General features: G+C 34.9%; 1 long non-coding RNA gene across 1 annotated transcript; it reads right to left on the reverse strand.

Annotated features, from left to right (window-relative positions):
- Positions 1–9826: 9826 nt before the first annotated feature.
- On the reverse strand, positions 9827–26654 carry LINC01689 (long intergenic non-protein coding RNA 1689). The gene is made up of 4 exons (NR_109963.1): positions 26527–26654; positions 13493–13610; positions 12896–13036; positions 9827–11446 (listed from the first exon to the last, which is right to left on the reverse strand). It is a non-coding gene; the product is annotated as a long intergenic non-protein coding RNA 1689 (long non-coding RNA).
- Between the last annotated feature and the right edge of the window lie 280 nt (positions 26655–26934).

Raw genomic sequence — 26934 nt, forward strand, 5'->3', positions numbered from 1 at the left:
TCGTGAGAACTCACTATCATGAGGAGAGTACCAAGGGGATGGTACTGAACCATTCATGAGAAGTGCATCACCATGATTTAATCACCTTCCCTCAGGCCCCACCTCCAACACTGCAGAGTACAATTCAACATGAGATTTGGGTGGAGACACAGATTCAAACCATCAGACCCTGAAACACGGTGATATTTTTATCTTTTCCTTAAGTTATTTTCTAATCTTGTCATAATTAACTGTCTTAACCACAACCATTTATACCTTTTACTCAATAAATTAGCATGTGAGTTCTGTATTCAAGATCTTGGGGGCTGGGTGCAGTGGCTCACGCCTGTAATCTCAGCACTTGGGGAGGCCGAGGTGGGTGGATCATGAGGTCAAGAGATGGAGACCATTCTGGCCAACTTGGTGAAACCCCGTCTCTACTTAAAAAATACAAAAATTAGCTGGGCGTCGCAGCGCATGCCTGTAGTCCCAGCTACTTGGGAGGCTGAGGCAGGAGAATCACTTGAACTCGGGAGGTGGAGGTTGCAGTGAGCTGAGATCGTGCCACTGCACTCCAACCTGGTAACACAGTGTGACTGTCTCAAAAATAAAAATAAAAATAAGATCTTGGGGACCTCTCTGGTAATCCCACTGAGGGTCTGGATCTGGAATTGCATCTGCCTCCTTAAGATAAATAGGATGGCCTTGGTTATGAGCAGCTATTTCATCTACATATTCATGGAGAGTAAAAAAACAAAAACAAAAACAAAACAAAACAAAAAAAACTTTGTCTCTTCTTTATGGTACAGCAATTAAATAATAATATCTGTAAGTCATACCAAGTTAAATCAAAGAACATAATCAACCTAACAAACTCCTCTATAAACTTTCCTGGATCCTCCAAAAACTGGACAAACTTTCTCTTTGCATAAAGTCAAATCAGACACAGATGGATGGAAGAGTGTCCCCTCTGCCCACCTCCAAAATTGGAGCTTAGCCTGGGAGGGTTCTTTGCTTCACTCAGGAAAGAATTTATGAGTGAGCTGTTGGTGGAAGAAAGCAGGTATACTGAAGCACTGGAATACACACACTGACTGCTCCTTGTAGAGCAGGGCAAATCCGTAGGTGGTGTGACCAGAGTAGCAGCATACAAGCTGTTGGCTAGCAGTGTTTACACTCATTTTTAATTATATGCAAATAAAGGAGCAAGTTATTCAGATATCTCTAGAAAAGAAGCAGTAACTTCTGGGTGTTGCTGTGGCATTTGTAAACTGTCATAGCATTGGTGGGAGCGTCTTACGTGCAGTGAAAGCAACTAGAGTTTGCCTTCCGTGCCATTTTGCTGGTTCGAGTTTCTTTTTTCCATTCTGTCGGGACCAGGATATAAGTCCTGCCAATCTCCTGCTCTGTTTCCATTAGCTCTTTCCCATTCTTTTTTCTTTTTTTTTTTTTTTTTTTTTGAGACAGAGAGTCTTGCTCTGTCGCCCAGGGTAAGATAAGCTCTCCACTCACTTCAACCTCCACTTTCCAGGTTCAAGCAATTCTCCTGCCTCAGCCTCCTGAGTAGTTGGGACTACAGGCGTGTGCCAACATACCCAGCTAATTTTTGTATTTTCAGTAGAGATGGGGTTTCACCATGTTGGCCAGGCTGGTCTCAAACTCCTGACCTCAAGTCATCCACCCGCCTCAGCCTCCCAAAGTGCTGGGATTATAGGCATGAGCCACCAGATCCAGCCTCTTTCCATCATTTAAATATTCTTCCTGCTTTTGTTCCAGCAGAATTGAATTCAGCCTCTTTCTCTTATTGAAATTGTTTTGAATCAAGTCTTCCTTGCCTGTTTCACTTATCAGCTGCAATTTTCTTTGAAAAGCAAACAAAATGACAAATGCAGTTGCAAATATATTCTCAAAATCTGATTCAAATGGGCATGTTTTAAAGTATATATTAACCAAGGCACTTTCATGACCAGCCAGATATATTGGAAGCATGCAGTCTCCAGAAGCACAAGAAGGCCTTTGGCAAATCCTCAGGGTGCTTTTGTAGGAAGCTACTTTGCTCAGTGTTCTAAAGCATGATCTTATGGTGAAAAATGGTAAGAAGCAAATGCAGGTTGTTAGTTTGGAGGACCACTGGGATTTTGAAAAGATATTTACTTTATGTTTTGTAATGATCAAAATGTTAATACTGATAATATTAATAACAATAACAGCTAAAGTTTACCTGCACTAATTACATATAACCCTCACAACTTGTTGTGAAGAAATTTTTTTTTTAGATTTTTTTTCTTGTTTTATTGTTATACTTTAAGTTCTGGGGTACATGTGCAGAACGTGCAGGTTTGTTACATAGGTATACATGTGCCATGGTGGTTTGCTGCACCCATCAACCCGTGATCTACATTAGGTATTTCTCCTAATGCTATCCCTCCCCTACCCCCACCACCTGCCGACAAGCCCCAGTGTGATTTTTTAACTATTTTACTGATGTGGAAAGTGAAACTTAGGGAGATTAAAAGCAAAGCAATAATTTAAGTCGCTATTTCCATAAAAACATGTTTCTGAGTTGGAGCATAGATCTTCCAGTAATACCCTCTGCTCTTTTATTTGTGAAATCACTTTCCAATAAGGTATTATGGACTATATTCAATAACACAACAACGTTGACCCAGATCAATTTCTGAAATTCAGTCAGGTGTATGACATTGGCTCAAAACTCCTTAGCAAGCCATGAACGAGCATGTGTGATCATGAGTTACATAGTTTGTTTGATAAGGGAATTATAATTTCACAAGAACAACTGTTGCCTTCTACAAGCCAGCCTGCAGAAGATTCCTTGTGCACTTCACAGAAGGTAGCTGGGTAAATGTACATTGTTCTAACTTTTTAAATTATAATTTTTCTCTTGGTTTCCTAAAGAATAATAAAAATGTTAAAAGCTAAAGCACTTATTAGATGCTTAAAAATTAATAAAGAATGCATAGGTACAATTGAATTACTATATATTGCAAGATTATAAATATTCCTGGATTATAATATAAAATAGCATTAATATCTGTATTTTACATAAGAGGAAATTAGGCGGCTGTGGTCACTTAGCTAATAGATGTAGGATTTAGGATCCAGATCCGTGTATATTTAATTTTAATTTAATGCTTTACTTAATGCCACTACTGAAGGAAAGATTATTTGAAAAGTATAGAAAACAGTCCCGGCAATTGTTGGTGAATTAAATTTATAAGATGAAGGAAAAATATGGCATTGATCAAAAATTTTTTCTAAAAAGAATGGGAATACAGATGTCAGAGGGGAATCAAATTTTACCCAGCACTTTATGAAACTCCCATAGGCAAAAGTTTAAATAGACAAGAGATTTGATTCCACAATTCTAATACTTAGAGTTTAAAACACAGTATACAATATAGCTGTGAATAAAGATTTAGGAAAGTTCATGCATTTCAGTATAAATTGTGATGAACACCACCAAAAAAAATCTCCAAAATACAACAGAAAAAGGATGAGATCAACAAGAACCACTATTGTGCAATGTATGCTTTCTTTCTCAAAATATAATGCTTTATTCAGAAGAGATACATTTTTTCCTACCATGTCGTATGAATATTTTCACAATCCTTAATAAATTTAAAGAAATATAAAAAATAAAAACTAGGAAATAATACAGCTTAAATTATGTCCTTTTGATTTTGAAAGTCTTTCCCCTTGAGCTATAGATTTTTAAACCTCGAATAGAACAGATGCAAAATGTTATATTAAATATTAACTGTTTTATTCCAACCATTTTTTAATTCTTGGATTGCCATCTCTTTCTTTATGGAAATAAATATGTTTAAAATCTATTTTAAATATTGAAGTAACTTGCTTATAAACAACAGTAGAAACAAATTATTTCCTTCCTTCAATTCAGCATTTATGAATAAAATGTAAGGTTCGTAAACACTGTGAGTGCATGTGAAACGTTAGGGAATTTCACCAGCTTGTAGAAACAAATAAGTGATTGATCTAAGTGTCAAAAATAATCTGCAGCCGAAAAGATGTCAAAGTACTCTTCCCTTGACTGCATTTTCTTTCTCCAAGCTTACATTTAATAAGCTTCCAACAGAACGTAAAGAAGAGCCAAGAAAATCTGCAGTTTTTGTGTTCCTAAGCATTTGTAAGGGAAAAAGAAGAGGATTCAACTCAAAATCAAAAGTCTAATACTTACTCTGAAACTACCATCAAAGCATATGCTGAAATTATCTTCATATCTAATTATTTCAAGGCATTTATATTGGGAAAAAAGGAAAATAAATCAGATACACATCAAGGATTGTTCTGAATTCACATTTACCAGAAGTATTTTAATAATGACCCTGACAACCAGCATGTATTGAACCAAAACTGAAACACAAACCAAAGTCATCCTTTTAAGCGTCAAACTAGAGTACCTTATTGTGTGTGTATGTATATATAATTTATATTTATGTTATACAATATATTTTATATTTCTTGATACAATATACATCAATGACTGTAAACCTTCTGAATTCTGCGCAATTTTGCTAACTCAGTGGACATATGTCACTATATGGAGATATCTTTCATTGACACACCTTTGGGGGATAAGACACTATTGGTATCTGTTGGGCAGATGCAAGGGATGCTTTTAAATATTCTAGGACAGGACAGCCACTGAAGATAAAATATTACCTTGTCCACAATGTCAATAATGCCACATTAGAAGATCCTGATATTTATTATATATTATATATGTTGAATATTTAATCTAAATTCATATGTATATATTCCATGTATAATTATTTAATTTATAATAGAAATATATATATTGCATAATAAACTGTATGGGGCTTCACTAAGATACTGTGTTTCATTTTATGTAGGTGTTGTGGGACTCTGTTTGCATATTATAAACTGAGAACCTAGTAAGATTATGGAAGAGCCTCCTGTTTCTCCACCATAAAACTTGCTCTGGTATAACTGGAACTTAAACTAGATGAATGCTTTTAGAGGGAGTCAAGCAGTCCAGACATACTCCTGCAGTTTCTAGATTGTGAAGATCTAATAGACTCAATAAGTAATTGAAAATGAGGATGAACAAAATATTGGGAATATTGTGAAGAATGGTCAACATAAATTAAAAATCAAAATAGTAAAGATTCAACTTGGAGAGGTCAATGGTAAGAAAGGCAGGGAAATTGGGGAAATAGAAGAGAAATCATGAGAAAAGTCTAAGGTAATGACATAAAGTAAAATAATAAAAATAATTCTTGTCTTTTAGATTGGCATTTTTGGAAAGGAAGTAATCACTGTGAATATTTGTATATTTGAAAAAAAATGAACAATGTATGTAACTTTGGGGCATAAATAAATAATACCAAATAAAGTAGAGTTTGTGTAGCTATGCCATCATTCAATCAATAGTCATAAACACTCAGTTTAGCACCCTTCTAAGGATTATAGGCGTGAGCCACCATAATGGGCCCAGTTTGTTATTTTGAAATATCACTTTTATACATGATACGTGGATACAATTCCATTATAGTAGCTGATTGTCAAACTAATTTGATCAATAGGATTTCCACAACAACATTATCTACTGTATTACTGTATCTTATATAGGGCTATTTTCATAAAATGGGGACAATGGAACTACTTAGATAATCCAGGTAATTAGTAATGTCTCTTAATAGACTGTATATAAAGAAATGTGTTTTCACCTATTAATGAAGACTGAAACTACAGAAGTTGAATAAAATAGGTTTACAATATTAAAGTGAACATTTCCATTGCATTTTTATAATGGTAATAGGTAAAATTGTCCAACATAATACAAGTGGTATTTAGACTTTTTACATGAATATGTTTCAATGTTAGAATGTAAAGCATGGTAGAGTAAATCTGTGGGCCTGTGAATATAGATCACAGGTTACAATTCATGTTATTTTCACCAGTGATAAGCTAAGGGTAAGCATCTACAAACAGTAAATACTAGGATGAAATAAGATTTCCTATTGTTCTTTCTTCTGTTGAAGAGCTTTAAAAAGGGAAATTATAGGCTAGTTACACTTCCAGTTGGATGAGTCTACCCACCTGGGCAGGATAGCAACTAGTCCATATTGTGTGATTCTTTGGGATTTAATTTTAGAGAAAAAGAGAGCTAGTTTCACTAAGCTTTCTCCCATCATATTGTGGCACAGATATTAGAGTGTACTTAGGCATACCTGAGCTTTCAGCCAAGTTGATGGCTGGGGTGGCAGGGAAAGAAAGTAATATGACTCCGTGGAAAATTTCCCTATATGAGAAATATTACCTGTACATTTTTATTATGACATGTATCATAATGTTTGGGATATAATAATACCAACATAATTATTACTAACTACCTCAAAAAAACGAATATTTTAATTACTGTTTAGAAACAATGCAACACCGGAAGCCCTTTCTTTCTATATCCCCATTCCAGTCACACAAAAGTTAACATTGTCCTGAATTATATGTTAAGCATGTTCTTCTCTTTCTTACATTTTAAACATGAATGTTTGTGTTGTTAAAATATATATTATATATGTTTGTTTTAGGACTGTATATAAATGGAAACATATAGTATTTATTTTTTTGACTCGATACGTTTGTTCATTATTATCTACAGAGAAAAATCCATGTTCAATTATACTTTCATTTTCTGAGCTATATAGTATTCCATTCCAACATAACAGATCCAATCGTTCTGCTATGAATAAACATAATACATTAGTTCATAGTGCTTAGAGTTCTTGAATGAATATGCTAAGGAGAAACATTTCTGAATGTAGGATAATGGCATGTTTACCATTAATAACATTTTGGTTTCCATGGTTTTCTCTTTGTATTTTACGAAGTGATTGAGAGTGTCTGTTACTGCATTACCTCACTATCATGTGGTAGCGTTAGACCTGTAATTTTTTTCACTTTTGTAGATTATGTAATGGAATTTCACTGACTTTACTTGAATTTCTCTATTACTGATTTAAGTTGAGCTTATATTTATTTGATTATATCAGATGTAAAAGTGCCTATTCATACTATTTATACTTTTTTAAAATGTGAGTAGTCTTTTTTTATTTGTAGGATATTTTATTTTATTCTCAATGTCAATTATCTTTTGGTCATATTTTATGCAACTATCTTCTTCCTGATATAGCTTGAAATTTTATTTTCTTTTATTTTCTTTGATACATATACTCTTAATTTAAATGCATAATTACAAATATATAAAATTACTATGTTTATATGACCATGTTTGTACATATTATAAATATAGCCAGTTTTCACAACTTGTGGCTTCAGTATTGTGAATTCACTTATTAAAACTTATTTGTAACCCTAAAATTAAATGTTTCTTCATTGTCATTTGCAGACATTTTCAGATCAGTGAAAAATTTGAGATGTTCAATGTGTACATTCCCACCAGAGTTTGAACTACGTGACTGTCTGTCTGCCTTCCTGTTCCAACTTATATTGTAAAAAAGTGTTTTGCTCATGTTCTAGTTAGTGGCAGTATTTTTACAGTGTTATGCCTTTTGTTGCTGATTTCTCTGTTTAACATGACCCAAACATAAATAAGAAGTATGTCTAGTGTTCCCAAAGGCAAGAAAGCTGTGTGTGCCTTATGGAGAAAATATGTTACATAAGCTTGATTCAGGCATGATAAGTTGTTGGTCATGAGTTTGATGTTAATAACTCAACAATATATATTAGATAAGGTGTCTTTAAAGAGAAACATACATAAGTTATGTATTAATCAGTTGATGAAAACTTTGTGATTAGAGGCTCACAGAAAACTAACTCTGTATTTCTCCTAAGAGAAGTGGCTCAATGTTTGCTAATCCAATGTTCATGGCAACTTCAAAGAATGTGTATACCACAAATAATGAGAATAGACTCTCTCTCTCTCTCTCTCCTCTGTCTCTCCTCCCATGTATGTGTGTGTCTGTGTGTGTGTGTGTGTGTGTGTGTGTGTGTATCCTTTTGAATATATTTGTATGTATATATGCAAAAAACAAAGCAAATGCAGTGGGATCTTGGGACCTACTTAGCTGGCCAAAAACCTGAGTGTGTCTATATTTTGTACACTTGTATTCCATTTATAGCATAAGAGTGAGTAGCAGCACACTGATTAGTAAGATCAATTTCAGAATATTGCTAGAAATGATGATCTCTTTTATGTCTTTTTAAGTATGAAAATGCCTGCACTCTCAAGCTAACAATAGTTATTATTAGAAAAACTCCTAATTGTTTTGAGAACATTGTATTCAGCATTACATTTCAAAGTATATCAAGTCTTGCTGATATCATGCCTAAAAAACACCAAAAGAAATCACTTTCTAAAATATGGTACATGAAAGCTACTTACCATGAACTTTCTTTTCATTTATCAAAGTCATGTCCTTTTCTAGACATAAGCAGCTGGCAGTATTGTTTCCCCAGGAGCATACAAGCAGAACACCATCTGAAGCCAGATGAAAACTAAAGGTACTTATCCAAGTGGAAAATATGGCAAGTTTGTACATTATTCATGACACCAATTAGCTCTTGAATCAACAAATATGGTAAAATGTTTTTAAAGCTAGAGAGCTATAGAGGCCATGTACATACACATAAAACCAAATGGAAACCTTACAAGATTGATCTGCATAATTTAGTCCAAAATAGTTATTTTATTTGAAATATCAGTGACTAAATAAAACAGAAGTTACAGTAGCATCATTTTTCTGTAAGTCGTAATATTTTTTGTTTGAATGAATAAACTAAATATATAATCAATGAAGAATTCCTCTTTTAAGTATTTAGGGTTTTGTTGTTGTTGTTTTCTCATGGAAAAAATTCAATTAGACAATCCAGATGAGGAAACTGATTCTTAGAAGAAGTTTGATCAAATCATCTATTGGAAAGTGTAGTGCTGAAATTAAAAATTATTTCTGCCAGAATACAAAATTTGCATTCATCTCTCTAAATCAGGATACCCAAGAATTGATTGAAATGCAAGATTTGCAGTAGATTACTTTAGCTTTCCTTATAAAGCAAATTACTCTCAAATTAAATATGTTTGATACAGTGTTGCAAAAATTCCATCTTGGGGCACTTCAATTTTCAAAACATAATATTCTTTCAGTCTAAAGAATATTAGCATAAGATTTAACACTGCCATTCACTTATTTAAATTTACCTATTTAATCAGATATATTTAATCAAGTTACATATGAATACTTAATTAAACTTGTTTTGGTTAACATTCTGGCTTAGAGAGGAGTTGGATTTCTATATATTGTGTTTATGCAAACATAAAATGATTATGTTCATATCTAGAGTAGCTGCTAATTTACTGGCACCTATTTTACATTCACAATTTTTTAAGGTTTAAATATCTAAAACAAAAAACATTTGAAAATTAATATTTTGGTTATTTTAATACAGAATATTCAATCATTAAATTAAGCCTGAGAAGAATAACTAATACTCAGGATTTTTATTATGTATTTAATATATATGTAATGAGCAGGAGAAGAGAGAGCCTAAGAGAGACAATAAATAAATAATAAATAATATAATTTTTAATGATTTTTTCTTTATATTTTCTTCAATACCCCAAATCTTCTCACACAAACTTGAATTACATTTTTGTAGAAAAGTTTAAATTCTTAAAATATTTTAACTTTATGATGAATAATAACAAATTCATTTTATTTCTGTCTGCCATACACACATACACAAACACAAAGATATGGAAAAAGCTAAAATACCTTTGCCTTAGTCCATCTGTGCTACTATAACAAAACTCCATAATCTGGGTAGCTTATAAACAACAGAAATTTATTTGTTATAATTCTGGAGGCTGGGAAGTCCAAGATAAGGCATCTGCTGATGAAGTGTCTCGTTGAGGATCCATTTCCGGATTCATAGAAGGTGTCCTCTAGCTGTGTCCTCATATAGTGAAAGGGACAAGGTAGTTCTCTGGTTCCTCATTTATAAGGATACTAATTCTATTCATGAGGGTTACATCCTCATTACCAAATCATGTCCCCCAAATCTCCATCTTCTAATACATCACCTTGGGGGTTAGGATTCCAACCCATAAATTTAGAGGGGTCACAAACATTCAGATCAAAGTATTTCTTAATAAGGCACATACCATTTCCTGATTGGAGAGCTGTTTTTCATAAGAAAATCAATGTTTCCCCAGGAAGAGGAAGTGGCTAGAACATATGCAATAGGTTCAAGGCCAAAAAACAAAAGTATTATTCATGGTCACTGATTGGAGATTCAGTAGTTGCCCTGCATGTATGCATAAGGATCAAGCACTTTATTGGAAACAAATTTATTTTTGATGCTTTGGTAAAACTGTCAATAGGAAGGTTGGGTTTTCCTGACAATTATTTTATGGTTAGTAATTTTTTATATAACACATAGTATTGAAGGATACTTACATATTTTCAGTACAAAAGTGTGAACAGATTGAATTCCAGCTTTGTTCATACTGTCCCTTCTACCAAGGAAATACAGAGATGGAAAAGAAAAACCTAGTGATCAAAAGCAGAGGGCTACCTGGAAGAGTAACAGCACAAAGAAAGAAGAATAGTGAGGCTGGATCGCCAGCAAAGGCCTGAGTGGGGAAGCCACACCTTAGTTTGATGAGCTTCCTCCAAAAGAAGTATATGAAGATGCTACTGAGTATGCTGGTTACATTTATCTTCTCAGTGCAGCACATCGCTATCAGTTTCTCACCTGCCAGAACAGGTGTCCTCTAGGAAGAGTTGTTTTATATACATTCATTTTACATAACTTTCTCACTAAAACTTGAATTACATTTTTGTAGAAAAGTTTATATTCTTAAAATATTTTAACTCTGTGATGAATCATAACAAATTCTTTTTTTCTATCTCACATATACATATACACAAACACAAATATATGGAAAAAGCAAAAAGAACCCTTGCCTTAGTCCACCTGGGCTGCTAAAACAAAACCCGATAATCTGGGTAGCTTATAAACAACAGAAATTTACTTGTTATAGTTCTGGAGTCTGGTAAGTCAGTAGTCAGTTTACTTCTCCAGGTCCTCTTTAACACAGTTTTTCTTCATGCTGAGTGACAGGGACAACTAATACTTGATTTGAAGAATATTTAGCAAGATAGAAAAATCAAATATTGATCTCTAAACTTCGTAGGTTGCTGTGGGACTATAATTTTCAGAAACAGCAGTCTCATATAATACAGGACTTGAGGAAAACTTTGCTTTATTATCTAGAATAACTTGGATACTTCTCTGCTGTCAAAGAGAAATAACCCCTAGGAAATGTTTCCCATCTTAGTGGAAATTATAATATGTTGAATATCTCTCGGTCGTACCTGGAAACTTGACATTGCTAAGAGCTTGTCTTCTAAAGCAAAAGAAGTTGCATTCCACTGGTATTCACCTGTAATAAATATGAAATGCACTGAGTATTACCTGGCAAGATGGAGAGTTAGATCACATGTCCAAATCTCTTCTCTTTTAATGTACTTAAATTAATAAAATTGCTGAACAAAGAGATGAAAATTTTATCCAGACTAAAACTGGAAAAGGACTTTCTGATATCCTACAGATTATGAAATATCTATGAAAATCTGGAACAAGCTCATAGAGGATACCAGGAGCTAACAAATGACTCTCTGGAAGTGGAGTGCCACGTTCTTAACAGCACATAGAAGAGATTTTGAAGGACTCCCGTATTAATACTTTGAAAATCACAGAGCAGCCCCGATTGAAGGAGAAGAAGTCAGTCATCCAAATTATTTTTTAATTTTTTTGTTTTGACTTGATATCCTGTAAAAAAAGCAAATGGTATGAAGACAAGCTTGCTTTATAGCTGAGGAGTGAGGTGATGGTATGCATGAGGGCATGTGTCTTACTGTCAGAGAAAAATAGCCTTGGGATACCCCACAAATACAAAGACAGTAAGTACTGTGGGCCACTCTACATCAGTTTCTCACCAATGTAGTTGTTTAGTATAGAATAGGAACTACACTCATATCTGTGGTTAATCCATAATGAAAAATGTAAGTCCTGGAAAAAGGCAAAGCCAGCCCACTACATCAGATGTTACAAATTTAGAAATTAAGCACACACATTTCTGTGACTTAATTATCTTCAGTCAAATTTTCCCTTCCTTTTCAGGCAACTGATAAGTTGGTTTCACAATGGACTGTACCACCATCCAGGGACATGGTCACATTTAATTTCTCAAAGCTGAAGGAAATATGATGGTGAGCTGATAAATTCAGTGACTATTGTTGAACAAATTGCAGAGCTTGATAGAATTGTCTTAAAAAGTTAATTTTATCAATCAAAGTAACTAAGCAAAAATTCCTAAGTATGTTACCAAAAAAAAAAAATTACTGTGTAGAGGCTTAAAATGACATGGTGTCTGATAGCTCAACACTTATCTGTTTTTTGATTTTATTTTAATTATTACCGTAAGAATTTATAGATAGCAGATATATAATAAAAATTTTTGCGATCAGAGAGTCTTTGGAATAAAATGATCCTAAGGATAGTGTCCAGTAGAGGATCCAGAATGAAACTAGGCAGAATGAATAATAGTGAGAGATGGAGAGGCAGGAGAGAGAGAGAGAGTAAGATATAGAGGGATGAGAGAGAGAGAAAGAGAGAAACAGAGAGAAGAAATGAATGAGCACATAAGTATAGATGAAAATAGATAAATCTCAGTAAGCAAATTGTGTAAAAAGAACAGGAATGAGATCCTGAGCATTTTCCTGGAATAGCTCAGCATGTCTGTGGAAAATTTTTCTTTTTTTTTTTTTTTTTTTTTTTATTCAAGGTAGCAGCTTTGCAGGTAAGAGGATGGCTAGATTCTAAGACTTACTGCTGTACTGGAGGCCATTCCAGTGGCCTGAGTGTATCACCATATTTCTTCATCCTGGAATGTTGGTAATAGACAAGATAGCCAGGACAGGATAATCTTTCTTCCTCTGGAAGAGCCATTGTCTTCGTTCTTTCAGTGTTGCTGTCAAGGAAAACTGGAGTCTGAGTAAATGCTAAAGAAAAGAGATCTATTTGGCTCACAGTTAGGCAGGTTATACAAGAGGCATGACACCAGCATCTGCTTCTGGGGAAGGCTGCAGGCAGTCCTCACTCATGACAGAAGGCAAAGAGGAGCAGGCATGTGCACAGAGCACGCGGTGAGAGAGAAAGCAAGAGAGCAAGGCGGTGAGAGCAGGTACCAAGCTCTTTATAGCAACCAGCTCTTACAGGAATTAATACAGCAAGAGGGCTCATTACTGTGAGGATAGCAACAAGCTATTCATGAAGTATCTACCTCCATGATCCAAACACTTCCCTTTAGGCCCCACCTAAAACATTGAGGATCAGATTTCAACATAAGGTCTGGAGGAGTCAAATAATCCAAACTATAGCAATTCTACCCCTGGCCCTCTAAATTTTATACCCTTCTTATACATACAATATAGTCATTCTATCCCATAGTCTTCAAAACTCTTAACTTGTTCCAGCATCAACTCAAATGTCCAATATTCAAAGTTTCATCTGAGACTCAAGGCAAACTCTTTATATCTGTGACCCTGTAAAATCAATAACAATGTTTTTACTTCCAAGATACAATGGTTGTGTAAGCATTAAATAAACATTTCTATCTCAAAAGGGAGAAATAGGCCAAAATAAAGGAGTAACAGGCTCCATACAAGTCTGAAACCCAGCAAAGCAGACATTAAACCTTAAAACTCCAAAATAATCTCCTTTGATTTCATATCCCACATCCTGGGTACATGGTGTGAAGGGTCAACTCAAAAGGCCTCAGGCAGTTGTGTCCCCATGGCTTTGTTGGGCACAGCCCACATGGGTGCTGTCTTGGGTTTGAGTTGAATGCCTGCTGCTTTTCCAGGCTGATGGTGCATGCTGCTGGTCGGTCTACACAGCCCTGCTCCCACAGTTCCACTAAGCAGTGCCCCAGTGGGGACTCTCTGAGGGTGCTCCAACTGCACACTTCTACTCAGTATGAACTTAGTAAATTCTCTCTGCAAGGACTCAGCCCCTGTAGCAGAATTGTGCATGGTTACCCAGGCTTTGGGATATATCCTCTGAAATCTAAGTGGAAGTGGCCAAGCCTCCTCCACTCTTGCATTCTGAGTGACTGCAGACTTAACACCATATGGACACTGCCAAGGCTTTCAGTTTATACTTTAGAGCCGAGGACCAAGCAGTATCTGGGGCCATTGAGCAGTGGTTGGAGGTAGAGCAGTCAGGATGCAGGGAGCAGCATCCCAAGGTGGTACAGGGCAGTGATGCTCCAGTCCCAGACCTTGAAACAATTTTGTCCTCCCCAGGTATCTGGGCCTGTGATGGAAGGAGCAGCTTTGAAAATTTCCGCAATGCCTTTGGGGCCTTTTCCCCATTATCTTGGCTTTTAGCACCTGACTCCCATTTAGTCATGCTAATCCTTTTAACAAGTGGTTGCTCTGCAGCACCATTGGATTCCTCCCTTAAAAATGCTCTTTCCTTCTCTATTACATGCCCAGGATGCACATTTTCCAAATGTTTAGGCTTTGCTTTATTTTTTAATTATAAATTACAACTTTAGGCCATTCCTTTGCTCCTATATCTGACACTCTTTGAAGGATTTTCTGCTTAGAAATTTCTTCCGCTAGATACTTTAGGTCATGACTTTTAAGCTTGGCCTTCCATGAAGAACTAGAGCATGAAAACAATGCAACCAAGTTCTTTTCTATGGTTAACAAGGGTAACCTTTGCTCTAGTTTCCAATCAGTTCCATGTGAGATCCTGTCAGCTTGGTCTTTACGGTCTGTATTTCTACCAGCATTTTGGTCACCATCACTTAACCAATCTCTAAGAAGTTCCAAACTTTCTCTAATCTTCTTGTCTTTTTTCAGACCTCCAAATCCTTCTATCCTTTGCCCAGTTCCAAAACCACTTCCACAGTTTCTGGTATTTTTATAGCAACATCCCACTCTTTATACCAATTTTCTGTCTTAGTCCTTTTAATGTTGCTACAAAGGAATATCTGAGGCTGGGTAATTTGTAAGAAGAGAGGTTTGTTTTTCTCACAGTTATTCAGGCCATACAAGAGGCATAGCACCAGCATCTGCTTCTAGTGAGAGCCTCAGGCTGCCTTTACTCACAGCAGAAGGTGAAGGGAACCAGCATGTGCAGAGATCACATGGATGGACAGGAAGCAAGAGAGCAATGGGGGAGGTGCCAAGCTCTTTTTAACAACCGGTCTCACAGAACTAATAGAACAAGAACTTACTCTTTACTGAGGATGGCACCAAAACCATTCATGGGAGGTCCACCCCGATGAACCAAACATCCCCCATTAGGCACCACCTTCAACAATGAGGATCAGATTTCAACAAAAGGTATGGAGAGGTCAAACAAAGTAAACTATAGCAGTAAAGTTGTTGTTGTTGTTGCTGCTTTTTTTGTTTGTTTGTTTGACACGGAGTCTTGCTCTGTCGCCCAGGCTGGAGTGCAGTGGTGCTATCTCGGCTCACTTGCAAGCTCTGCCTCCCGGGTTCACGCCATTCTCCTGCCTCAGCCTCCCGAGTATCTGGGACTACAGGCGCCCGCCACCACGGCCCGGCTAACTTATTGTATTTTTGTAGTAAAGACTAATTTTTTTTTTTTTGTATTTTTAGTAGAGACGGGGTTTCACCATGTTAGCCAGGATGGTCTCATACTCCTGACATCATGATCCGCCAGCCTCGGCCTCCCAAAGTGCTGGGATTACAGGCAGCAGTAAAGTTTTAATAAGTGCATGGTTCACCCAATTTCTCATCTTTTCAGTTCACATAGTTCAAGTATTGCCAATAAAAATAATTTTCGCCATATTTTTACAATGCCTGTAGTGTGCTTTTGAACAAATAATGATTTCCTCTAAGGAGATAGATAGCAAAGGCATAAAACAAGAATGTGGAATTTATAAGCCACTCATCACGTAGGGAAGGCACAGACTCCAGGATACAGAAACAATTGCATCTGACCCTGCTAATTGACTGAGTTAAGGGCACCCAAACCTTGCTTTTTAAAACAAAACAGTGAAAATGTGCTGCAGAGGAGATAGATGACTCCTTAGGGAGGAGGCAAAAGACATGCTTCTCTGTGAGCTTTAAAGTGTTCATTATAAAAAGCAGAGATACTTATCCCTGTAATTCCCCCAGGAAAGGAACTGGGGAGTAAAGATGAAGATTGTAGGCATGAGCTCAATTCAGGGAACATTTCCATTTCAGTGAGCATCTGCTGACAGTAAATCCAGTGATAACTGTCATGCAGTGTGGATGTCTTACTTCTTTCTAGTAAGCCTGATGAGAGCACCGTATACCTCCTGGCATAATTGTTCTTGTTCCATCTGAGCTTAATGGGGATTTAAACATTCACAGGAGAAGTTAAAGGCAAAGAAAAATGTGACGGTATAAAAAGGAAAACTATTTTTAATGAGCTTATTTTCTTCTATGTAACTCATCCTTATTTTCTGATTTCATAATGTTATATGGAACATTTTTGATATTATGAAAGAAAAACCAAATGATCTCATTTTATTTTATTTATAATTGTATTATTGATCTCTTGTTATGATGGAGACCCTTTATATGTGTACTGCAATAAATGGAAGAGCTTAAGAAGCAATGGATACAATAATGATGTCAGTTTGGCTGCCAGGAACTTGGTGGATAAAATCTGCTAAGAGACACATGAGATTATTTACGTCAATGAGTGTGTGATAATAAAAGGCAATTCAACCTCATAGATTTACAATTTAGACATAACTAAATATGGTAGTAACACTATATTTACTTCTTAATTCACTTATTATACTTGTTTCTCTTGACCAAAACAAAGGTAAACTCTACAGAATAGTTTAATTACACTTAACGTAAGAAATTAATATCAATTTTTATGACTGGGAGACTCACAAATTAGTATAACTACAATAGAAAAGCACTATAACTCACACAACAGTTAGATTCCCTGTGCATGAGATGTCTTTGACCTGCCCAGAAAGGCTTCTACACATGGAATTCGCATGAACCTTATTATAATACCAGCATCCCAACACTAGCCAACATTAAACCCTATGATTATATTATTATATGTAAGTGGCAATATGCTGCCAGAAACTGTAATATCTCCATGATCTGTAAAGGAGCTGCTCTATCTCAACCACAGCATGAAACTATTTCTGTTTTTACACTAATAGTAGTTCAAGTTTATTAATTCTAGCAACCAAAACATATAACATCAAAAATCTTGAAATAGCTGGGCACGATGGCTCACGCTTGTAATCCTAGCATTTTGGGAAGCCAAGGAAGGAGGATCTCTTGAGCCCAGGAATTCCACACCAGGCTAGGTAAAATAGCAAGATCGTGTCACTACAAAAAATTTAAAAATTACCTGGGTGTGGTAGTCTGCACCTATAGTCTAAGCTATTCGGGAGGCTGAGGTGGGAGGATGGCTTGAGTCCAAAGTCCAGGAAGTCGAGGCTGCAGTGAGCTGTATCATGCCACTACACTGTAGGCTGAGTGATGGAGCGAGACCCTATCTCCAAAAAAAGAGAAAGAAAAATCTCAAAATAGGTATTTTTTTAAAGTATTTTATTTGTGCAAACTGGATATGTCTTTCAGAGTGCAATGTCTGTGTTAATATTCCTTGCCAGTAGCCACAATCATTGATATATTTTACTTTGTTGCTACTCTGTTGAACAGAATTATAAAAAGCTTACAACTGATTCGACTTGTGGATATTTACCAGGACTTAAATCCAAACGCCTGTCTCTGGTAAACATGTGTAAACAAATTGCTTTATTAACTAAAAAAAGGTCAAGTCCTGTGTTTGACTAATTTAGTGTTGAAATTTCTCACATTAATCAAAATATAAGCTTGGTAAGGAATATGCTATCCTAACTGGCTAACTCTATGCTATATGTTTCAAATTAACTGTCTGCCATGTCAGATTATCCTAAACATGAAAGAAATACATATGTGACCCAAAGTTTGCGAACCTTTGGTGAGATTTGTTTAAATATCCAATTTAGTTTTAAAATCTTATGTATATTAAATTGAAAATGATGACTTTCAATATTTTACCCATCTAGTTGTATATCCTCTCTCAATTTTTCTTAATATGCCTGAGAAGAAAAGTGAGGTTAAAGAAATTTAGTGAATGCTATTAGAGACTTGAATTGCTTCTATTATTTTAAAATAATATTTTCTACACACCTGTGCCTTACCAATTAGTTTATTCAAAATACAAAATGTCATTTCTTCCCTTGGAATTTTGTTCACCTAACAAACGCTGTGTCTGCATTGTGTCTAGCTACTTGTCTTAGGTAGCAGAGATAGACATAAAGTAAGACACAATTCCAGAATTTGAGAACATTAGTATAATTGGGGACTCGGTTCATAAGAGGAAAACATAAAGCTATGTATAAAGAAAGACTGCAACATCTGCAACATCACATGGACTAGAAATATCACAGAGGCTACTTGGACCAAGAAAAAAGAACGGAACGAAAAAGTACCTGAGAGAGAAGAGATGTCATAAAGACTTAAGAATAGGTGAAGAAAAGGAAGTAAAAAGCATAAATATTAGAAAGAGTAAAATAAAATTGTCTTTGTTTACAGATGTCATGGTGGTTTATATAGAAAATGGCAAAGAATTGACAAAATACTGCTGGAACTAGTAAGTAATTATGGCAATGTTGTAAGATACAAGATTAATATTTAAAGGTCAATTGCTGTCTTATATACTGAAGATGAAAATACGGAAATTTGAAATAAAAAACAAAATATCACTTATGTTAGCACCAATAAAATAAAATACTTAAGGTATCTATCTGAAAATAAGTATCTATAAAATCTATGTGAGAAAAACTGCAAAATACTGATGAAAGAAATCAAAGCAGACCTAAATAAGTGGAGAGATATTCCAGGTTCATGGGTAAAAAGACTAACTATCAGATATGTTCGGTTTTTTCCAAATTTATCTGTATATTCAAGGCAATTCGAATCAAAATCCCAGCAAATTATTTTGTGGATGTCAACAAATGGTTCTAAACTTTTTATAGAAAGGTAGAAGACCCAAAGTAGCCAGTTCAATATTGAAGAATAACAGAGTTGGAGAACTAACTAACGCAACTTGATCTCCAGACTTAATATAAAGCTACAGTATCAAGACAGTGGTATCAGTGAAAGAATAGACAAACAGAATAAATGCTATATTAAAAAAATTGAAAAAATGTTCAATGGAACACAGTAGAGATCCCAGAAATAGGCTCACATAAATATAGTCAACTAATCTTTGGCAAAAATGCACAGATAATTCTATAGAGAAAGGATTGTCTTCTAAATAAATGGTGCTGGACAGCCTGACTTCCACATGCAAAAAATAAATAAATAAATAAATAAATAAATAAATAAATCTAGACACAAACATTACACTTGTCACAAAAGTTAGTCCAAAATGGTTCATAGTCCTAAGGTAAAATGCAAAACTATAAAACTCCTAAAAGGTAACATAATGAAAAAATAAAGGTGACCATAGATTTGGTGGATTTTTAGATTACAACTCCAAAAGCAAAATCCATTAAAAAAAATCAACAAGAATTCCTTAAAATTAAAAAAAAAAAGTTTTTCCAAAGACACTATCAAGAGAATGAAATGACCAGCAGCAGACTGGAATAAAATATTTGCAAAACATATACTAGATCAACGACTGACATACAAATATACAAAGAACTGTTAAAACTCAACAATAAGAAAACAAACAATCCAAATTTTTAAAAATGGCAAAAGATCTGGATGGACAACCTCACCAAAGGAGGTATACAATGCCAAATAAAAATATAAAGAGACACTTGATGTCATCTGTCATCAGGTAGTTGCCAATTAAAAAACTACGTGAGATACAACCACACACCTTTTAGAATGAATAAAATGAAAACACTGACAACACCAAATGCTTGTGAGGATGAGGAGCAAAGGGAACTCCTATTAATTGATTGTGGGAATGCAAAATAATGCAGACATATTGGAAGACAGTTTGACAGTTTCTTCCAAAAATAACATTTGCTTACTTCAGCAAGCACACTTCTGGTACCTACCAAAAGGAGTTGAAAACATGTCAACACAAAAACCTGCATACAAATGTTCATACCATTTGTATTTATAATTGGCAAAACTTGGAAACAACCATGATGTCCTTCAATAGGTGAATGGATAAGGAAACTGTGGTATACCCATAAAATGAAATATTATTCAGCACTAAGAAATGAGCTGTCAGCCCAGCGCGGTGGCTCATGCCTATAATCCCAGCACTTTGGGAGGCCAAGGCGGGCAGATCATGAGGTCAGGAGATTGAGACCATCCTGGCTAACACGGTGAAACCCCATCTCTATTAAAAAAATACAAAAAGTTAGCCGGGCGTGGTGGCGGGCACCTGTAGTCCAAGATACTTGGGAGGCTGAGGCAGGATAATGGCGTGAACCCAGGAGAAGGAGCTTGCAGTGAGCCGAGATCACACCACTGCACTCCAGCCTGGGCTACAGAGGGAGACTCCATCTCAAAAAAAAAAAAAAAAAATGAACTGTCGTACTATGAAAGACGTTGACTTTATTAATAATAATTTATCAATGTGATTCAACAATTTTAACCAATGTACTAAACTAAAACAAGATGTTAGTAACGAAAACTGTGCAATGGGTGGAAATGAGGAATACAAGAATTCTGTGAACTTTTCTATTATGTTTTCTGTAAATATAAAACTGTTCTAAAAATAAAGTCTACCCATTAAAGACAAAAAAAAAGAAGAAAAAAAGAAAAGAAAAAGAAGAGAACAGGTGAGCCAGACTTTCAGAATGTGGAGACCTGGCAAGTATGTATTTCCCTCTTTACAAAGCAGCAACAAGGCAAGGAAATTCTTCCTATTCATAATTTTTATTCAATTCACAGAAAGCTGAAGTTGCTGGGGACAATTAACCCTAAGTATAAGACACGTGACTCCAAAATGAGATGAGAGAAAACTTAGCTTACTTGCAGCAGATGCCATTTGAGCAATGGTGAAAAGAAGTTAGCTGGATTTTAATTGCTCAAGCTACAAGCTACATGTGGAGTAGCAAGAAAATATGAACCTCTGAGGGCAGAGGACACAAGGGCAATTTGCACTTATTCACAGATTCTTTTCTATTGATGTTTCTAGAACTCTAAAAAAAAGATTAGGGGCATGATGATACTGGCTTAAATGAGAGGCTGCTTCAAGAAGGTCAGAAAGCCAACCCAAGATCCTTTCCCCCTCCTCTCCTATGGGACAAAAATCTTTTTTTTTTTTTTTTTTTTTTGAGATGGAGTTTTGCTCCTGTTGCCCAGGCTGGAGTGCAATGGCGCGATCTCAGCTCACTGCAACCTCTGCCTTCTGGGTTCAATCTATTCTGCCTGGAAAATCTTAAACCACTAGGTGAAAGACAACTACCTTGTCACCTGTGGGGCACTGGTGAAAACCTATTGCAAGTGGAGAAGGTGACCAAGAGAAAACAAACAAACAAACAAACAAACCCCTCTGACTTCATGGGAGTGGCAGGAATAAGTCCTGGGCCCTGACCTGCACCTGAGTGCCAGACAGGATCCCCGAGAAGGCTCTACACCCATGACTCAGGGAAGCAGTGCTTGCTTAAGACTGAGATTTAATCAGAGTCATAGAGAAGCCACCATCATACTATGCCCCTGATACCAAGCTAATGACTGTTGAGTAACAAGTAATAATGTCCTAATGTTATAGTCTAGTAAATAATCATCAGGATGTGTAATGCAGAAAATATAAATGAATGGATTTCCCAAGATGGAAAATGTGAGGTGTTTTTGTGGCTTTTATGTGGAGATATTGCCTTGTATTTGAGAGGTCTAATCACTAGTCTCACTGCTATTAATAACCAGTGCTGACATGCTGGTACAATCTGCCTCCAAATCTCCATGGACAGGCACATGGTTACAAAGCAAGATGATTAGTAGCATTATTAATAGAATTTCAGTGTATTTCATGCTATGTGCACATACAGGGACTTGAGCAACACATAAATGAGAATTATTGTAGAAGCCTGTTGGGATTAAACCTTACAGCATAGGAGAAAAAAGGAAGAAGGGTTTTAAAACAATGACAAGCTAAGAAACACATGGATAAAACCTGGAAACCTGAACACAGGAAGAATTTTCATCCTAATGAGAACATACCAGATATATTTTTATAATAAAAACTCTCCATTTTTAAAGTAAGGAAAGTGAGAGGGTACGTTAAAGGGAAAAAAGCATAATTGTCAAGTCCTTTTGTATATTCAAACTTTATAAATCAAAAGAAACTCTTAAAATTGTCTAGCCCCTTCTCTCAAATGACAACAATGGAGAGATATCAGGTTGATCTAAAATCTCCCTGTGATACAGGGCAGGGAAGCCACAAAATCGTGGCTTAGCCAGGGAAAGTTCTTGGCTTTGCCCAGGAAAGCTTTCAAGAGTGAGCAGGTGGTGGAAGAAAACAGCTTCACTGGGGCAGCAGCATTACAGCACAGTGACTGCTCCTGCAGAGCAGGCTGCCCCGTAGGTGGTGTGTGGAGAGCAGCAGCTCAAGCTCAGTGCTGCAGCCAAACTCTATCTACCTTTAATTACGTGTAAATTAAGAGATGAGTTATTCAGAAATTATAGAAAAGGGGTGGTAATTTCTGGATTGTTGCCATGGAAATGGGCTGTAACTTCTGGGTGTTTTTATGGCAATGGTAAACTGTCCGAATGAAGGGGGACATATTTTAGGAAGAGGTAATTTCTGTGCCTCTTCCCTGTTTCAGCCAGTCTTCAGTCTGGTCCAGAGTCAAGTCCTGCCTCCTACCTCACCTTCACTTAATAAGTATTAGGAAACAATGACATATTTTCCTTACTATGTAAAGGCAAATTATAATATTTAAATACAGAGCAGAGCTGAGAAATAGAGCAAATAAATATATAAATTTTGTAAAAATATAGCACCTTCTGATAATCTTATAGTAAAGGAAAATGTAATAAAAATTAGCACCTATGAGCAGAAAATTTTACAGTATAATTGCAGCATTAGACTGGATAATTATATAGATATAAATGTAATATTTGAATTAAATATGCATATAAATGACCACATTTTTATTTGGAAAATGCTACAGAAGTGTTTTGAATGTAAAATTCTAAGGATTATAGCCCTGCTTAATTCAGTCAGAGAATTCAAAACAGAGGGAAATATAGTTTATTTATTAATTTTTAAATTTTTTGTTCATTATTTTGTGAGAAACACCTTAATACATGATAAGAATAGAAAAAGAATGTCTATCTTCCATATCACAGAATAAGAAAATATCAAGCAAAATAATATATTATCTATATGGCTAGCAGAAGAAAGTAAAACGATAAAAGACATTAAATGGTGCAGAGATGTTAATAGATTCAACTAGTCCAAACTTCATATTTTAAAGGCAAGAGCATTTACATTGTGTCAAAAAAGTTATAAATATTTATTTCTTATACACTATTTAAATAACCTAATATAAACAAAATGCTGGAAACAAAGAATGACCAAATATATGTCACTCAAAAGTGAAACAAATGTTTATCAAAATGAGGAAAAAATATAGGATATAATTTATTAGTAATAAAAACATGAACTGAAGCAAAAGGAGTAATCTACTTTATCTGCAAGTTATAGGTACTATTTAAATGAGAAACATTTATTTATAAGCACAAATATATGTAGCATCAAAATATGTAAATCAGGAAAGTTTATAATTAGGAAGTATTGATAAAAACAAATGATATAATATTTTAGAGCATGTGCGAATTATATAGTTAAGAAAAACAACAAACATTATGGGGTTTGACCTAAGGTAACTTAAAAACCACTTAGTGGAATAGCTTTTTTGAAAAGCAGATGGATCCACTGATATATAATTTTAAAATAATTTTTAAATAGTTGGATAGCCATCAAATTCATTTAGGAGGCTTGTATTAGATTTTTAATCTTGACAAATATTCCAGAAATTTTAAAAAAGTAATAATAAAGTAAATTATCTCATGTTAGTATATGTAAAAATCCTAACGAAATTAAGTGGTTGTTATAGACTGAATACCTATCTTGTGTTCACCCAAAATTCATATGATGAATTCTAATGCTCCAGTGTGTTGGCATTAGAAGATGGGTCCTTTGGGAGATAATTAGGTCAAGAGGGTGGAACCCTCATGAATAAGATTAATACTCATAAAAGGAACCCCCAAAATGCGGTCTTGCTTTTGCTGCCACATGAGGGTAAATCGGCAGATTGTAACCCAGAAGAGAACCCTCACCAAAACATGACCACTCTGACACCTTGATCTTGGTCTTCCAGCCTCCAGAACTATGAATAATAAATTTCTGTTGTTTATAAGCCACCAGTCTATGCTATTCTGTTATAGCAGCCCAAACTAAGATATGTGATGCAAAGATTACTCTGGCAAAACTGATTGAGGTTTAACTAATGAATTATTCATTAGTAAAGGAGTACTAATAATGCCCAGATAGATGAACATTTAAATAACATTGAAAGTAATGCTGAAATGTAACATAAAATCTTAGTATTCAAGTGTCTACATAAAATTTAACCTTAGCTAAAAGTAGAAATATACTAAGAAAAAGATGAAGTAAAAATTAAAATTAAAATATCTATTATTTTCTCTTAGTAGAGATTTTGCTCATTCATTTTAATTATTGCTCAATTCAAATTATTTTTAAAATACTTATATGTAAAATAGTAAAGAGAATAACAATATGTTCAAAACTAAAAGCAACACACTGTGGGTGAATTAAGCAGCAAAACCATCCACATATGAAAGGTAGTCTTTGATATATCCCTGGACTCCATGTACTGTTTATGGTTTGTACATTTTTGTTTGCCAGTAAAGCGCCTGGGCAGTATTAGACAAGAACAACCAGGAGTTCAGTTATTTTACTGTACACAACAAAATGCTAATAATGCCAGGACTCTGCAAAGGCAATTCTTGCTAAAAGGTCATTGTCAGCAAGCATCGTTGAACTTCTGTTGATCTTCATTCCAGAGATTAATTGTGCTTGATTGCATATAATATTATTTTCATTGGAACAACTGATGTTGACTGAGAGAGTGAGGTCTGATCTCCCTGGGATTACTCAAAGGATTTTGGAACACAGCATTTATTCTTGTCTTCCTTTAATCTAGTGACCTTGTTGACATGATCTGTTAGGGTAGTTGTTTCAATAATTCTATATTTATTCTGTTATTTTGAAAATGTTTCTTCTCTGTTTTTTAATTCAATTCACAGAAAAACTCAGAAATCATGATATTTATTACATGTTTCCTCCTCATATTTTCAAATTTAAAAAAAAGCAGAAAACAAGAGCAATAGCAACAAAAAAACACCGCTTGAGTCAAACTTTCCTACTAAAGTATCATTCTCGTTTTATGATTTAAGTAGTTTAGATAAAATAAACACGAGCATTTGATGTATTGTAGTCAATATGCTTAATGCCATTTTCTTTCTCAGAAAGTTGTAGAGTAGGTTTTCAAGGAGAACTTTTAAAGTCTCTATTTTAATTTTTTTGTTCTAAAAAACCTGTAAATAAAACTGAATAAATAAATAAATAAAATTATGTCTGTTTTTGCATAATATTTTTTCTATTGTTAAGATGCTCTAGACTGAATTACGTATCCTGAAATTCTATTTTGAAATTTTAGCCCCCAACAATTTGGATATAAGGCTTTTATGATGTTATAAAAGTGCCCCCCTAATCTAACAGGACTAGTGGCTTTATAAAAGGTGGAAGAAAGAGAGTTATCTTTCTTTCTCCATGATCATGTACCAGGAAGGTAGCCATTTGCAAGCCAGAAGGGGAGTTCTTGCCAGAACTCAACTATACTAGCATCCTGACCTCGGACTTCCAGCCTGCAGAACTGTGAGAAAATACATTTCTATTGTTTAAGTCACCCTTTCTATGGTATGTTTTTATGACAACCTGAATAAGATGTAAGAGATTAACAAAACATTTTTTACTCTTATCATCTGTGGTACAGAGACATGTAATTAAAAGACATTGCAATGGAATATATTGTTTAATTAGATAGCATATAACTGGAAAGTATACATTATTGGAAGGTATTACCAGAAAGCAACTTGGTACTTAATTTGTTCAAAATTCAAATATAAAATCTATTTTCCTGTTGTTGTCTGTGGAGAAGAATCATACCATACAAATGTTTCTCAGGAAAAATATATACTGTACTCTTTTTAAAAGATTATTTGTTTCTGAAGCCTACTTCTAAACTTCCCAACTCTTTGGGGTTTCTTTCTGTACTGTTTTGCAGTTGTTTTCATGATACATTATGTACCTATTTCTAAAACTATTGATAGGAGTTTCCAGAGATCAGGGAGTTGTAGGTATTAATACATTTCCCACCTCTCTTGGTGCCCAGTTCAGGACTCGTTATCTCATGGGTGCTTGGTCCATACTGCTGATGTCTGTAATAACTCAACATGAAAATTAATGTTTCATTCTCTTTTCCTGATTTTCCATGAGAAATGGCCTCAAAAGTCCTGAGCTAATTGTTTCTACGTTCTAACTTGTAATGTATTTGGAATGTTGAGTTTAGAGTAAGTCTTCCTCTGATTACCTCATGTGAACACTTAAATCTTTTTTGGGTTGTTCCAAATGAGTCTTCAAATATGAACCTTTTCAATTATTTATTAAAAATCATCTTGCTTCCCATAATATATTGATTTTTAATAAATAATTGAAAAGGTTCATATTTGAAGACTTATTTGGAACATATACATATATATTATTTTGTTCTCTTTTTGTCAGTTA

The sequence above is a fragment of the Homo sapiens genome, chromosome 21 (assembly GCF_000001405.40).
Source record: "Homo sapiens chromosome 21, GRCh38.p14 Primary Assembly".
Lineage (NCBI taxonomy): Eukaryota > Metazoa > Chordata > Mammalia > Primates > Hominidae > Homo > Homo sapiens.